This window comes from Homo sapiens, chromosome 18 (genome assembly GCF_000001405.40).
Source record: "Homo sapiens chromosome 18, GRCh38.p14 Primary Assembly".
NCBI lineage: Eukaryota > Metazoa > Chordata > Mammalia > Primates > Hominidae > Homo > Homo sapiens.
In genome coordinates this window covers 31,264,066-31,281,961 of record NC_000018.10, presented here as the reverse complement: position 1 = coordinate 31,281,961, position 17,896 = coordinate 31,264,066, and the positions used below count along the sequence as shown (strand labels likewise).

The window sequence follows — 17,896 nt, the reverse complement described above, 5'->3', positions numbered from 1 at the left end:
AGGCACCAAGGTAAAAATCATGCTAGACTCAAGATTAAATTTTGTTAGCTCTAAAATTTGGTCACATTTAGTTTCTTTGACAATTGCATAATAATTATTTTCAAATAACAAAATAAGATTCTCATAAATATTCCAGAGTAATTTAAGTGTTGCTGGCTATAAGAGAAGGTAAAAGGAGAAACCCACTTATCTTTTGGAACCACAGATTCTAAGCATGTGGAATGGTACATGAAACCAGTAGATAGTAATTGAAGGTTTTATAATGTTAAAATGTATGGCTTCCTAGTGTAAGGTATCTACAGGGGGTCAGGAAATTGTTATGCTAGTGAACAAGTAATCTGCCCATTCAAACCATGTGGTTATCAAAGGTCAGGCATATTTACCATTGAAGAAGGAATTCAAGTTTACTGTTGCTTCCTCTAGGAGAAGTTTGTTTTTAGTTTCTGGAATGATGTCAGAAATCAAGTAGCAGTTCCATGATAAATATGGATCAATAGTTAGAGAATTTCAGTGTCAATATTCTTCTACTCTCAGACTATACAAGCTTTATTGAAATTCTGAATTCAATTTTGAATTCATAACATGTAATAAATACTAAAATGGGGAGACAAGCCAGAAGAGAATCATAAAAAAAAGTATTCATGTTGGAAGTTAGACTTAAAAGTTAATGAACTCTGTTTATTCAGTCTAGGAAGTTAAAGCCTGAGGGAGGATAGTTATTTTCCTATCTATTCATTTAGCAAACATTTATTAGTTCTCACCATGTGCTAGTAAGTATTCTAAGTATTTAGGATACAGAAGTAAATAAAATAGTTAAAATCCCTGAGTTATTGAGGCTTTCAGTCTGGTGGAAGGAGACAGACAAGAACAATAAAATAATAAGTAAATTACATAGCATGTAGGAAAGTATTGAGTGTCATGGGAAGGTTAGAGCAGAGGAAGGGGAATTTAAAAGAGCGGGGACCAGCCACTGTTAAACAGGATGATCAGGATGAGCTGTACTGAACACATGATTTTTGAGCACATAACTTCGAACAGTCAAGGGAATTTTCCATGCAGATATCTGAAGGATGAACCTCTCAGGTAGAGGAAACATCCAAAGCAAATATCTTAAAGCAGAAATACCTAAAACAAAATAGAGGAGAAGGAGAGTAGGTCAGAAAACTGAAGGGAAGAGCGGAACAGATGATATGGGGCCTTTGTAAAGACATCATTAGGAATTTGACTTTTGCTCTGGATATGGTAAAGTGTTGCTGGATTTTGAACAGAGACATGATGTGATTTGACTTCTATTTTCAGAGGATGCCTCTCACTGCAATGTGGAAAACAGAAAAGAGATGTGGAAGAGTGGCAGTCATGTAGCTAAGAGGTTTTCACGGTAATCCAGGTGAGTAATCTTGGTTGCTAACATTAACATTGTAGTAATGGAGGTGGGAGGAAGTGGTCCTGAATAAAGTTTGGAAGTTGGCTTCACAGACAGGTTGGATATGGGGTATGAAAGAAAGAGGGGAGGCAAAGATGTTACTAAGATTTTTGGTCTGAATGATGGAAAGGATAGAGTTACAATTTATTGTGATGGGGAAAACAATGAAGGTCATGATTTGGGGACAGAATGAGGGTGCTGAAGATGAATTCAGTTGGGACATGTTAAGTTTGAGATGTCTGTCAGACATCTAAGAGCAGATATTGAATAAGCTGTTGGATAAATACAGACGGAGTTCAGGAAAGAGGTCTGGGCTGGAGATGTAAGTTTGATAGTCATTGGTGTCCACATGTTTTTTCAGGCCTTGAGACCAGAGGATACAATCAATGGAGTGTGGCAAGAAAGGAGAACCAAGGGCTAAATCTTGTGGAATTTTAAATGTGAGTACTCAGGAAAAAGAAGCAGACACAGGAAATGAATCGACAAAGTGGTGAAGAGTAAGAAGAGAGAAACCTGTGGAACACTGTGGCTTAAATGAAGAAACAATTTTAAAGAAAGATGATCAATTCGACTGAATAATGCAGATAGGTCACACCATAGGACTGATAGGAAAATGACCATTAGTTGCGTCCAGTTTCTGAGAAATAGTGGGGATGAAAGCCTGATTGGAATGGGTTTAAGGGAGAATGAGAGGAGAGGAAATGTGAAAGTGGGTATGTGCAAATCTTGCTGAGAGTTTTGCTCTAAAGGGTAAGAAAAATGGAGATGTAGCAGGGAAGAAAAGTGGGAGTAACAGATTTTGGTATTTTTTAACAAAATTTTTAAGATGAGAAAAAACAGAAGTACATTTGTACATTGATGGGGAGGATCCAGTAGAGACAGAAGGCTTTTTCTAAAATTGAAGACAGAATTGAATTTTGAATTGAAGACAAGAGTTTTTTGGTGGTCCAGTGATTATTGAACCAGAGAGGATGTATTTTGACAATAGTAAGGAAGATTAAAGATAAATATTATAAACAGCTTCCTGATCATACAGCAGTGAGACCAGAAGATATTATCACAGGAAGTTATTAAAAGTTATCATCCGAGTTTTAAAAGTCTTAACATAAATAATAATGTAACAGATGGTCATGGAGTGTTTCCAGCCCTAGAGCTAGTGGGCATACAAGGGTGAGTGAAACCCAGTCTTAGTTTTCCGGAGTTCATTATAGGAGAGTTCACCATAGGAGTATGGACCCTAAAGGCAGGCTGGCTGGGTTGAATCCTGGCTTTCTTATTTGTTAGCTGTGTGGTCTTGGGTAGGTTACTTCAATTTTCTCTGCCCCAGTTTGCATATTTGTAAAATAAGGTAATAGTATGATCCTCATAGATCAGTTATGAATATTAAATGAGCTAGCATAGTTAAAGAAATAACTTATACATAGCACATAGTATCTACAGCTACTTACTAGCTATTCTGAGTCCAATGTTATAAGTGCTCATTTAATGGAAGAAGATTAAAGTACAGTATCATGGCAGCATACAGGAGACAGTTATTCATTTTGATTTAGGGCTTATAAGGAGTCCCAGAGTGCTTTACACAGAAGGTACATTTAAATGGACCCTGCAGAATGAGTCAGACTTCACCAAGTAGCATAAAGCTCAGCCGAGCCTAGATAAGCAAAGGCTCAGAGTTTGAGCTTGCAGGGTGTGCTTGAGAGCAGGGAGATCAGTAGTGTGAAGGTCAGGCTGGAAAGTTGTCACTGGAGATAGGATAGCAGGGCCTTGAATGCCTTCTGTGGAATTGCAGTCATCTCTGACAGTATTCAAATAGGGAGTCCAGGGAGTAAAACAAGAGTAAACAGGGGTGGCCCCAGGCAGCACAAACTCAGCCTGCTTTCCTCTAACTTGCCATCTTTCCCCCAGTTGAGTGGCATCAGCAGCCACTCCCACTGCATTTTTTTGCTGTTTTTTGGTTGGCCCTTTCTATCCTCCTCAGTTTCCCACCACTTTTCATATTCCCTCTTGCCTTTATATACTTTCACATTCTGTGCCCTGTGCTTGGCCACTTCTTAATCTTCAAAGGCTCAGCTTGGACTAAGCTCTGGAGTTCTTCCTGACTTCTCTGGATAGGAAGAAAAGATTCTTCCTCCAGGCTCCCTGGGTGCTCTGGGCTTCTCCTGGCAGAGCATTTATCTCATTTTATTTTTTTAGTTTCAGCCTAAAAACCAAAATAAAAGGAAAAAATGACAAACCAAAAATACTCTTTGAGCTCCTTGAGTTCTCACAATGCTTGGACTGCAATATGCTATCATAAATGCTGAGTAAATGAACACATTGGTGAAATAACAAATGACTTTTAATCCTTTAAGAAAAAAAGTGATCAGAGAATCAGGAGAAAGTGATGTTGTAAGTCCACAAAGGAAGTTCAAGGAACTCTCTTTCACGTCCCCCTCAGCCTCCCAAAAAAGAATCCTAGGAAATCATCTTACGTTTTCTGAATTTATTGTTGAGTATTTTTAGCTTTAAGGTTTTTTGTTTAAAAAACTGAAGACCTAAAAGCACATGAAATTTAAGGCTCAAACCAGGTTCAAAACATTATCTCCCTAAGGTCTAAACTCAATGGGACACTTTTGACTACAAAGAAAATAGTGTTTGAATGAGACGCTACATTCTGACAGAGATGAAAGAAAACCCACTCATTCAGGACGATGTGTATATTACAATGTATTAACTTGAGCATCCTGTGTGGTCATCAAGGTTGTATTAGCTCCTTCTTGCATCGCTATAAAGAAATACCTGAGACTGGGTAATTTATATATGAAAATAAAGAGGTTTAATTGGCTCATGGTTCCACAGGCTGTACAGCAAGCATAATGCTGGCATCTGCTCAGCTTCTGGGGAGGCCTCAGGAAACTTACAACCATGACAGAAGGCAAAGGGGGAGCACACCCATCACATGGAAGGAGTACAAGCAAGAGAGAGAGGGAGGAGGTGCCACACGCTTTTAAACAATTAGATCTCATGAGAACTCACTATCTCGATGGCAGCACCAAAAGGGGATGGTGTTAAACCATGAGAAACCAGCCCCGTGATCCAGTTACCTCCCACCAGGCCCCACCTTCAACATTGAGGATTACAACTGAACATGAGATTCGGCAAGGGCAAACATCCAAGCCATATCAGAGGCCATCTCATGGACACATTCGATGTCCTAGAGATTAAGGCAAATAGGCATGCACTAAATCACCTACGCAGGCAGCTCAGCTCCCTCACGCAGGGCACTTGCCCATCACTCCCCTGCCTCAGGAGAGAATGCCTCCTCCTCCTCATTCTCTGCCCATCTTCTTCCTCTCAAGCTGCCTGCTTCACAGACCTTGTGGGTATGTGTCTTACAATCAGAAGAGACACATCTAAAATACTGTGATCACTTTCCTCATTCTGACTTGAAGTGCAGTTGATTGTTTATACATATATCCCTCATGTACTCACCCTGCTCTTTTATACACACGTGCACGCATGCACACGTTAGCTTCCAGGAGAAAGGGGTTAGAACCTTCTCATCTTTCACAGAGCCCTTCACAGTGTAACTTAAGTTTTCCAAGAAGGAGGAAATTAATACTAGAGACTAAATAGGTGGAATGTGCTTAGTAAATGCTTGTGGATTGTTTCCCGAATAGTGAAAAGCAATATAAAAAATAAATACAGCAATATAAAAAATAAATATAAAAACATAAAAAACAAATACAGAGCAACGTGGGAGCACAGTTTACTAAGTATTGCGAAGTGCAGTCAGGTAGCATCATTTATATAGATTGGATTGGAGGTGTTAGAACAGAATGTTTATGTTTCTCTTTTTAATCAAGAAAGTACAAAAAAGGGATATGAAATAAGAGAAGAATAAAGAATGTGGATAAGGAAAATCAAAAGGTCTGCTCTGTTGTTTTTGAAATGTTCCCTGAGATTCATTCACAAACAGGGCGTGGTTTATGAGACTTGGCAATATTTAAATTTGTGCTGTGAAAAATAAAGCAGAAACTTACCTAGTTTGATTTGGCTTTTGGTGTCCCCTAAAGGAGTTAAAGAGACCTAGTTTTCTTAACTGGAGAACATTATAAAATGGGGAGAATTTTTAGAAAATAAGAGACAGATAAGTTTTTATTTTTCCAAATGAGAGGTTACTTGGTAAATACCACCAGAACATTTATGTTGCAGGATCAGACACCTCCTCCACACTCTGAAAGCATACACATGACATACTTATTTGATGTTTATATATTTTATCTTAGGTCAGCATTAACATACCATGAAAGGAAGTCAGTCATTCACTTTCTGGGTCAAAAGTAAATTCTTATGATTCTTATGACCTTGTGGAAGACAAAGATGTTTTCAAATTTCTGTTTGTGTTCTTACATCTACACATATTTTTTATCTCATTGAGCTCTTATCAGTGGCATTTATTTAAAACCCTACGACTAAAATCCTTCTCCCATAAGCCTTATGGCAAAAGACCACCGAGCCTGTCATCACTACCATTTTCAAAAAGTGTTTATGAACCCTCAAGCTAAGTGCTTTGCCAGCCACCACTGCAGAAACCGCTCCTGAGAGGAGTGGATTGTCTGATTCATCACCTTGGAAAGTGGTGGTGATACTTCCTGGATGTAGATTTGGAGAGGAACCAGAGGCTCTAAAACCTCACTAGCACTTCCTCATTTCTCTATGAAAGCCTCTCCATTTTTCTCTAGAATATCAATTCAGCTCATGGGCATATTTCTCTTTTTTTTTTTTTTTTTATAAGCACCCAATCTGCATTATTCTTCAAAAATTAAGAGATCCCTGATATGGGAAGCTTGGACCAGGCTTCTCTGGTGGGCTCAGACACAGTCCCCAGATCCAACCATGTAATAACTAATTCTGGACTTTCATATGCAGAAGGGCAAGAAACTATGTAAAAAGTTCTGTGCCATAATAGTGTCAGCACCTTTTAGTTTTTATACTGGAGCACCAATGTTTGCCTTCTGAAAAGAAAGAGCTAACTCAGGAATGCGCTTTTAAAATTTAAAAGATGACACTATCAGAAATTATGTTATTTTGGAAGGGTAGAGGTGAAAAACAAAAAGAAAACGATTGAGAAAATAATTACAATTTGCTTTTTAAGAAAACTTTCATACAGGAAAAAACAACATGTCATTTAGGATTTTAAAAACTTGGTGCTAAAGATTGCAAATTTCAGAATGTTATTGCTAGGAAAAAAAGCAACAATAGGAATTGGTATTCTTCTATGTGGAAACTGCTTTGTTGACAATCTACAAACAGATCTCCTTTTAAAAAACACACACACACGCACCAAGCTAAAACTGCTTATTCAGTGACGCTTTCACCAAAGGAATCATTCCTTGACTCTGTTTTTAGTTGGGTGTGGTGAGACAATGTTCTCCCTTGGCTGGAGGCTTGGAGAGGGGCCAAAGCAAACACCCATGTGAACACAAAACAATTAGGAAAGATTCATTCTGAATTAGTTAATTCCCATGAATAGGCTGGGATTTATTAATCTGTCCTGATTGAAATTGCTTAAAATATGAACTTGGGAGTTTGTAAGCAAGCAGGCAGGAGAGAAGGCTAAATTAGGGACAGCTAAATGTCTGAGAACATAAGGAGAGCAATAAGAAACATAATTGGCTAATATCTTTATTACTTTTCCCATTTTAAAAGAATAAGAGAAATATTAATTAGTGTTGTGTCTATCTCACAAACTTGGCTCTGTGAAAGCACAGATAGATATAGTTCTAAAACATTAGGTCTATTCAGTATTATTAGATCTATTCAAAGAATTGATAATTCTTTTTTTCTAAGTAAAAAGACTTGTTTCAGTTTTCAATTTAGACTGTGCAAAGTCAAATAAATAATCACGAAGCATTTTCTTTGAAAAATTAAAAATAACTTATTTGAAGACATAACTTTTCTTTCCAACTTTTAAAGAGTTAAAGATTTCTGTAGAAACATTATACTACGTAACACCTTTCTTTTATAGAATACTTACGTAAAAGCTGGGACCAACATAAATTGTTCTAAAGAAATAATTGTCTGAAATGTGCACGGGCCATTTGTTTTCAAACTTGTGAGCCAGAGGTCAAATCGTACCTATCAACTTGTTGGTACAACTGCAAACAGCTTTGGAGCAGGAAAGGGCACAATCCAAGCATTGTTATTTACTTCACAAGTGCAATTAGGTACAAGTGTTTGCAGCCATACTTAAAGTAGTATTCCACCTAATAACAGCAGGGGTCAATGCTGAAAAGTCTATGTGATTATAGTATAATCCTGAGAGTTATTTTTCTTGCAATACTATTAACTTGCTTTGATGATGAAAACTGTGTGTATGCAGATATTAAAAACAAAACCTCATGGAATTTTGCCTTCTGGAAGAAATTTTACTGGCTCAAAATTTTTTCAAAATTTTATATCTGTGAACTTTGTACAAAGAAGTGTCATAGTTAGACATCCAGAATGACTTTATAGTGCTATAATATAATACCTGGTGAAAAAAAACACACTGTGTTCCATATTCAAAGTCTGGCAGATAAAGAAAAGGTTGCTTTGAAAGTTTCTGATTAGATGCTGCTGAACCCATTGGAAATCATTGTTAAGTTGAGTTAAAGAGCCTCTCCTGTTGTATCAAACAAGTGACACGTCATTTAAATAATCTCGGCTTCATTTTTCTTGCATGAAAAATATTGAGATAGCCACCAAACAATACCCACTTATTTGAAAGAAATACTGTGTTTATAATTTAGAGCAATTTTGAATTTCTTGGAATATATGGTGCAAATGTAATACTAATTTGCCTTAACATTCCACAACTTAACATAGCAGAGTTTTCAATTTTATTCAGGTATAATCTCTATAATTTTATAATTCAAAGAGATTTTTCTTCAACTTTCCAAGAACCATCAAATAAATAAAGTTTACCATTTACTGGACAAAAAACATAACATTAAATGCCATTTTATTATCTTTTTATTTACTATGGTTCTGCAATTATAAAAGTATTGTCATATTCTACCCTGTCTTATCTGAATGCTTTAAACTATCTTATCAAGTCAATATATTTTAGGTTTGGGGAGTTTTGTATCCCTTTATTATGTTTTGTTATTGCAGACATCTTCATGAATCCGCCTTTTGCTGTTTAAATAAAACGGTTTCCTAAGGATAATTTATTCTTGGTTTTCTTTTTTTCCCATGCATATTATACCTTATTAAAGCTATTACTCAACTAAAAGTATTTTATGATTTGTTTCAAGCCTTCAATTAGTATATTAGCTTTTTGAAGGAAGGTGATACATATCGCCGATATTTATGTTCTAGGCCACCAGCATAGGTGCTCAATAAAAATCTGTTAAGTAAATAAATGAGCAACTTTCCAAAAACGATATAACTATGATATGAATTTTTTCATGATTGTTGAAACATATTGTTTCCAAAAGGATTCTATAATTTATAAAGTTACTAACAATGTTTTGTTTGGCCAATTTGATCACAACATAGCCAGCATTATCATTGAAAATATTTCTGTCACTCTTACAGGTGTAACATATTATCTCAAGGTTGTTATAATCTACATTTTACATTTTAAAAATTATAGGCAAAGATAAATATTTTTCAACTACTATTAGGTTCCTAATTTTAAAATATCTTTACTTGGCCATTGTTGGTTTATTTATTCATCTTATTTATATCTGCTCAATATTTGTTATTTGAAGCATATTTTATATTCATTTTTCCTCTTTAACACTGAAGTAATATTTGGGGTCAATAATTTCTTTAAGGTACTTAAGATATAAAAGCTATTATATGAAAATAACATTATTGAGAACAGTTTAAAATTTGGCCTAGTTTATATGCAAATAAATTTAATGCTTCTTTGGAAAAACCACTCATAGAATTTTGGAAGAAATCATTTCAATCAGGGATTCCAACTTGACAGTATAAAGTAAATTGTACAGAATGAGACATTTTACACCTTATGCTAAGCTCCTATTCTTTGATTATGTTGACCCACAAGTACTGCTTTCCCAAATATGCTCTGAACATCAATCTTCACCCACTCACATGTTCATGCATGTTCTTTCAGTGACATTAAACTGTAGCATATGGCCACAGGATGCCTATGATGCTTGACACGCCCCAAATCTCTATGTTCATTCAACATCAGCTCACTCACAGACCTTTTTCTAGTCGATCAGTTTACAGTAACAAAAAGCACACTTCCTTCCCCCAAGGAGCTTAGAATCTGTGTTATTACCACTATGTGAATTCCATTTCTCTTCATTTTTTCTTTGAAAGTACTACCTAATTTTAAATACCTGGCCATTTCCATAAAGTTCCCAACTCTCACAGTCTGAACTCAGCTCTCCCACTTAATATCTTCTCAATAACTTTGTTTTTAGCCGTATTTTAAAGCACATATTCTAGTGTACCTTTTGTTGTAGTCATAAGGTGGCGTAATGGTTTAAAGTGTACTCTGAAATCAGACTTCCCAGATTTGAATCATATTTCAACATCATTGCTACCTTGGATAAGTTTCTTTACATCTCTGTGCCTCAGTTTCCTCATCTATAATAGGGGACAATAGTAGAACCTACTAGTATATTTGTTGTAAGTATTAAATGAGATAATACATGTAAAATATACATAGTAAACACTTAAAGAATGTTAGCTATTATTATCTACTCCTTAGTTTGTAAATCACTGAAAAATGGACTCTATTTTATTCATCTTTGGATCCCTGATAATTATCATGATTAATAGCATATAGTAATAACTTAATGAACAACATTTTCATGTATAACAAGTTTTCTAAAGATTCCTTTATGGCTTTGAAAAAACTAAAGCATTTTGGATAAACCTATAAAAGAGTAGATAACTAGACTGGTTAAAAGTAAAACTATTCGGAAGAAAAATGAAATTACTAGAAAAAATATAATCCTTGAAACTGGAGGTTTGTTGGATGTAATGAATTGAAGAATTGGCCCCACAACTGCTTTTCACAGTTTTTGTTGATGAGTAAAGTTGTTTGCTAGGTAGGTTTTTTTAGAAATCAATTTATTTTCAATCACCAAAATCACATACCCGAGTAGGATGTGAGACCCAAATATATCATTTACAACTGGAATTTTCAGGATTTGGTCTGAGACTCTTCAACTATTCCTACAGTACAGCTCTAAAGCCATATGGTCACCCATTAGAAAACTAAAATAAAAAGATGGAAAATGTCAAGAGTTATTAAAAATGTAGAGCAGTTGGAGCTCTCGTACATTACAATTAAAATATAAATTGATAGAAATACTTTGGAAAATTATTTGGCACTATCTAGTAAAACACAGGAACATATACATAACCTATGGCTTAGCAATTCCACCTATCCCTTTCAGAAGTGAATAATATACACACTGAAAGACACATATAAGCATATCCATAGCAGGACTATTAATAATGTCCCCAAACTAGAAACTATTCAAACGTCCATCGTTAAAGCAAACTAAATATGTCCTGAGAATGGCTCCATACTTCTATATTTGAGTCATCGTGGATGAACAGTAATCTAACTTAATAGGTAGACAAGATTGAAAACCTAATTTAGGAGTATGGGCCTGTAACAATCGCTGAGTCTTGGCCAATCCCAGCAGCCTTACTTCAACCACTCAAACGCTGCCAAGTGTTCAAACTGTGTTCAAATAAGGCAAAGGCCAACCTGTAACCAATTCAGCTGTTTCTGTACCTCACTTTGGATTTCTGTACATCACTTCCCTTTTTTTTGTCTATGAATTTGTTCTGACCTTGAGGCATCCCTGGAGTCTCCCTGAATTTGCAGTGATTCTGAGGGCTGCTTGACTCACAAATTGTTCATTGTTCAATAAAACTACTTTAAATTTAATTTGGCCGAAGTTTTTCTTTTAACATCATCAATAATAGGTTGAATAATACATTACAGCACATTCATATAATGGAATACTATAGAGCAATGAGAATAACCAACTCAGAACAATCCCAAAATATGTGGATGAATCAGACTAACATACTATTGAGTGGAAGAAGCTATATGTCACAAAGGAGAACATATAGCATTATTTCATTTATTTAATGTAAACAAACAAAAACCAAAAAACAAAAACAGGCAAAACTTTGTTATCAGTATTCATGCCAGTGGTGACATTTGGAGAGTTAGTGATGGCTGGCCTTCTAGTAATGTTCTAGATCATGATTAAGGAGCTGGTTACATGGGTCTAGTTACCTGGTAAAAATTTATTGAGGCATATGCCTATAACAGGTGCACTTTTCCACATTTTATGTTAATTTTAGAAGTAATTAAACTTACTCTATGAGTTTGGACAGAGCTTCTTCTAAATTTGCTTTTATAAAGAGCTTTTTGAATCCCTTTAGAACTGACTAAAAGAAGGCGGCCAGAAAAATACACTGCAATGTCCTTGTCTTAAGTTCAAGACACTGCTGTGTCCAGAGGCATCACATTCTCTCTTCTCTGTCTGGAAGGGCAATTAATTCTAAGCCTGCCTCCCTGAAGTTTGAAGAAAAAAAAATAGTCCTTTCCCTAAGGTTTAGTGTTCTAACAGTATCAGGAGAACCCGGCCATAAACTCCAATGTTTCCCTGGCTTATCTCTTGCTGAGCTGGGGGACCTTTATGTCAACGAATTCCTCCGACACCATAGGTAGATTCAAGGAGGTCAAGCACCCTGGGCTGCTTAAAGAAAAATTAACACCAGCTTTTATCTACCAATTGTAGAAACTAAGAGTTTACTTTGCATCCATGTATTCTTATTTCCTTGTACTGGATGTTTACAGAGGAGAGTCAATATTCTAATGGGGAGTTTTTCACTTTCGGTGTGACAAGCCTGTTCTACCCATGGGCAAAGGAGGTTAGCTTGGGGTAGTTCTGCTTTGCCTCTCCGTTCTCTGTTCGTTTTGGCAAAAAACTGCATATGGACCTTTATTTTGAAGAAGGAATCAGGAAACATGTAAATGCATCTCAATTGCAAAGTATCTAAAATTTTCCAGGAAGATGATACTGAATAATTACACAAATTCTTGACTGCTAATGTTTTTACTGTGTTACTTTAGTGAAGCACCAGAAATGAGCTTGATGCTGTCATGATTCACTTATTATCACATCCCATGAGATGAGGAAGAGTTTAAAACACAGTTGGTGTCATTTTTGCTTTCAATGATAATTAAATTATGTGTTTGTTGCCCTTTCATGTGAAAGTCAGCTTGCTGGCAAGAACTAGTGTTTTCACTTTACTTGGTTTATGGCAAAGCTCCAACTCCTCGCTCAGTAGTCACTGATATTTCCTTTGTCTCAGGTGTCCACATCTCCTCCACTTGGCAGATGATCTCAGACCAGCTCTCCTTTTATTCATGACAACATTTTACTGCTTCTTCCTCCATGTTACTTTCCAAATTTATTTCCACCTTACTACTTCAGTCAACAAGATTTTTTTCCCCAGGTCTCTTGATCATCTCTCTCTCTCTGTCTCTCTTTCCTTTGCTCTCTCTCTCTTATTCCAAACATTATCTTTTATAATCAGATAATCTCCTGATTATCCTTTTTCCCCATTGGCCATATCCCTTAATTTTATTCTGATGCAATTATTGATCACTTATATGAACCCTTCCATTGCTTTTTGCATTTCTACTTTTATTTCTTTCTTATTTCTTTCACATTCCCATACTAGTCAGTCATGCCTGTTTTCTCCTTTTTTTACTTTTCTCTCTTCTATTCTATCACTTATGCTGAAGTTATCCCATATCCAGTTTAAAACAGGTTCCTCATTATTTTTCTTATATCTTCTCTTCCATAAGCTCTATTTGGCAAAATATATAATAAAGCAGACCAGTTCTTCTCTCTCCATACCCGCATCTGAATCTATGATAATGCTTGTGCAGTCGTACTACTTTGTCTATATTAGCTGAGGAATTTAAGACAAATCTTTTATACAATTTTAATTTACTTATCCCAAATATATATAAAAAATTTATTGGATGAACATGTTGAGAATTTTGGGTTTTCAATTTCAGTAAAGTGCATAGAACTTTTCCGGTCTTCACTTTCTATTTTTCCTGTACTCTGTAACATCTGGCTAAATCATGACTTTAGCCATTTCCCATCCTCCCAGAGTCTGTGTTGTGGCTGCTTCTGTGACTTCACAGTCCTGGTGCTTTTCTTCAACCTCTGGGAAATACCCCAGGAAAGTCCCTTAATATTCACTAGGTTCACAGCATCAGAAACTGCAGAGAGAAGGACAGAGGTGAAAAAAAGAAAGAAAAAAAAAAGGAAGAAAATAATCATATGCAGAAGAGTATGGGAAAGAGAAAGAAAGAAATGGAAAGAAAGAAAACATGAAAATGCAACAGGAATAGAGACAAAAATTCTGGTTGGGAAAACTCTGAAGAAAAAATAATGCTGAGATTACATCTGTTGCCTTCCAGGGAGTTTATCTTTGCTTAACCGTGGGTTAGCTGGCTGGCAAGTTACCATTTACAAAGAAGCAACATGTCTCTGAACCTATGAAATAAAGGGTTTCATTATTTTTCTGAGAAACATTTGCTTCTACAGCAATCTAATTTGGTATATGCATAATGATGAATGGGCACTAAAATCTAAATAGGGAGGTTATTGACCAAACACTGTAGAATTTAGATGTTTATCTTCATTTTTAGAGATGGAATAACAAAGAAGTGATGGAATCAAAATTATTATGACGGGGGAAAGCACATCTCATTTTGAAGGAAAATACCTAGGTTCAAAATAACTCTGTTGACCAATGATACAACTATTTCTTGCTATTAGAGTCCCTGATCACAAAGTACAGATGTGGAAACTTGGCTTTTAAAAATAATGATAACAGCCACAACCACCTGTGTAGTGCATTACAGTTTCAAAAGTAAATCATCAAACTATATTTTATTGTCAGATAAGAAAAGTTTGTGGGGTTTTATTTCAAAGTAACTGTGAAGTGAATTGAGTAAGTACTTTAAAACCCAATGTTTAAATTAAGATTTATTTCCCAATTTATGGGCCCACTCTTAGTTTCAAAAATCATAGTCATAGCATTTGTTATCATTATTTTCCTCACATTTCAAGAAATATGTAGAAGGAATTGGCATTAATATTATTATTATTATTATTATTATTTTTTGAGACGGAGTCTCGCTCGTCGCCCAGGCTGGAGTGCAGTGGCACGATCTCAGCTCACTGCAAGCTCCGCCTCCCGGGTTCACACCATTCTCCTGCCTCAGCCTCCCGAGTAGCTGGGACTACAGGTGCCCGCCACCACGTCCGGCTAACTTTTTGTATTTTTAGTAGAGACGGGGTTTCACCGTGTTAGCCAGGATGGTCTCAATCTCCTGACCTCATGATCCGCCCGCCTCGGCCTCCCAAAATGCAGGGATTACAGGCGTGAGCCACCGCACCCGGCCTATTATTTTTGTCTAAAGTATGACTCAAAATGAAAGTTAGAACGTTAAAATGTATGCCTGTCACTTTCTCACTTAGATAACGTTTCAGCAAGAAAAAAAATTAGTGTAATCAGAGAATCAACAGAAATCTTCACAGATTTCAGAAAAACCTTGAAAAAATATTTATATTGAGTTCAACTTATGTATTCCTCAGTAGAGACTATACTGTATAAATCTTCAAGAAATCATGTCATGATGAGTACTATTACATTGTTTTCATAATTATTAATGAGTGGTATTGTTGTTAATCCCTTTTATTAGGAAATGTAATATTACTCCATACATAAAAACTGCCTGCTGCAAAGGTTGGAGACAGATTTGCTTAGGATGCTGCCACCTTCAGGAAATTTTACCTTATGATAATTTTGTATTTATGATATTAAGGAAGACATTTCTGTTTAAGGGGCATTGAAAATTCTCTGTGCTCAAATTATAATTTTTTTTTTACCTAATAAGAGAGAATTGAAAAGTACTGTTAATATTTACAAATTCTATTTTGGAACACATTTGAAATGTGCTTTGTTATTCCATTGAGAAAAAAACATTTTTCATTAAAGAAGACATGATGCAAATTTTATATACTTTTAAGTATCATCCCTGAATTTGCAAAATATATTAACCACTACAAGTGATCAATAATTAAATAATACTACTGCTTAAAAGGGATTCAGTGATAAAGTAATTTACTTACAATTAATTTGCTCTCAGTTATGTAGCAATTAATATAGTTATGCTTAATTAATTCCATAAGATGTGATCAAATAAATCATGCTTTTATTTCAAAAATAATTTTCACTTAATACTGCGTTGAAATAGTACTGTTCAAAGTCATAGCTCATCACAAATGTAAATTTGCCCAAAACTAAGGATTTAAAAAGAGTTTTGGAATTGACAATAAACTCCTCAGTTTCCTCAATTCTCATCATGACCTGAAGACTAATATTATAGAAAAATAATAATTAAAAAGTGTTTCTTTACATATCTTGCTATGTATAGTCACATTTTTATGTTTCCATTGAATTAACATTCTTCCAAAACACATATACCTATACAAAAAACATTAGCTTATTAGAGTCTTTTTTTCTTTCACAAAAGGAACATGTTTTATTTTAACCACTGCAATTTCATAATAATTACACAAAGTTAATTATTTCTTTGTACTCCACCTCTAAATCCCCCTCACACCTCTTTTAAACATCTTTTTGTGCAGTGACTTTCTCTGAACATCCTTTCATCAATGGAAAAGTTTGAACTCTTTACATTTGTCAGTTTGATGGTTAAAGCTTTGTATGATTTGTGGTTGAAATGTTAATTTCTCCGATTTTAATGACGTTGAGGCTTTAAAAATATTTTATTGACCATTTGCATTTTCCTTTCAGTGAGTGCCTCAATTTGTGGGAGCTCTGTGACTGTCCAGTTATAAACAGTGGTTGTGATTTTGAGTAAAAATCATTTCCTTCTCTGAGCCCAAGTGTGCACCTCTGTGAAATTGTGGAATTACTTTTCTATGTCGTTGCTATGATGTTTACACGAAAATCACACATGAAAGTGACTGTTATAGGTCAATGCTTGCTAAACAAACATATAACAGTTTTTTACATCAGTTTTTATGACCTCATTTATTAGAATCTAGTCTCTCCATCACATTGCTCTTACACGTTTTGAGGATCTATTTCATTGCAGTTGAGACACTTAAGAACATTTTCTTATAAATAACAATTTACCCCTGCACTTAGAGGATGATCAAAAAGGAAATGGAGAATATTCACTTATATTTAGGAAGGCAGCAAAGAAGATGGTGTCCAGGCCTGGAAGTGAGCTCTTTTTTTTTTTTTTCAGACGAAGTCTCACTCTTGTCCCCGAGGCTGGAGTGCAATGGCGCGATCTCGGCTCACTGCAACCTCTGCTTCCTGGGTTCAAGCGATTCTCCTGCCTCAACCTCCCAAGTAGCTGGGATTACAGGTGCGTACCACCACGCCCCACTATTTTTTTTTATTTAAGTAGAGATGGGGTTTCACTATGTTGGCCAGGCTGGTCTTAAACTCCTGACCTCAGGTGATCCACCCACCTCGGCCTCCCAAAGTACTGGGATTACAGGCGTGAGCCACCGCACCCAGCCAGAAGTGAGCTCTTGATTTGAATCTTGGTCTCTTTAACTTACTTATTGTGTAATCTTGGGGAAGTAACCCCTCAACTCTCAAAACCTTGGTTTCTTGTATATAAAATAAGGAAATAATACCTGCTTTAGTTTTTATTGAGGCTAAATGAGATGAGGAATGTGAAATCTTTAGCATACTGTCTAGCACATAGAAAACTCAAAAGATAGGTGTTTATGGCCACCTATATTCATTTATCTAGTTATAGAAAATAAGTTGTCTGGTAACCTTGCTTTTTACGAAGTCTTCGGCCAGCCCTACATTTTACTTCACTTGATTACATCTATTTAAGACTTCCCCCTGTTTCATTTGGCCATTTATTTTTCTGAGTGTTAATAATTTCTAAAAAAAGAACATGTGCACATGCACATCCACACAGATGCACCCTGAGTGTATAGAGGTAGTTCAGTTTTTAAGATAATCTAAATGTTTTCCATTTTATTCCTTACTCATAAGATGATCTTTTTTTAAAAGCACAGAATAGAAACACAAAGTCCCATTTCCAGTGGTTCATACTCTATGAAATACTTTGTGATAAAGAGATATATACATATATCCTTATTTCTATGTGAATGTAATTTTAAAATATTATATATAATATAGCATTTTAAATTGTATTATAAATATATAATATATAATATATTACATATATGATACACTATATATTATATGATATATATAATATGACATATATTATATATAATATTTAAAAAGTTCCTCAAAGGAAGGACAAAATGATAAATATAAGAGCTAATATTTTCTTATGTGCATTGCCTAGTACTTTATTTAAAAAAAAAAAAATCTTGG

General features: G+C 35.4%; 1 long non-coding RNA gene across 1 annotated transcript, besides 1 other annotated feature; it reads left to right on the top strand.

Moving 5' to 3' along the window:
- Nucleotides 1–1,299: 1,299 nt before the first annotated feature.
- Nucleotides 1,300–3,663, top strand: LOC124904346 (uncharacterized). Its single transcript, XR_007066446.1, has 2 exons — nt 1,300–1,387; nt 1,785–3,663. It is a non-coding gene; the product is annotated as an uncharacterized LOC124904346 (long non-coding RNA).
- Nucleotides 13,642–13,761: an enhancer, noted in NCBI's record as "active region_13196". NCBI's record gives its function as "activates an Ori minimal core promoter by ATAC-STARR-seq in GM12878 lymphoblastoid cells {active_cell/tissue: GM12878}" and the evidence as "EXISTENCE:reporter gene assay evidence [ECO:0000049][PMID:35858748]".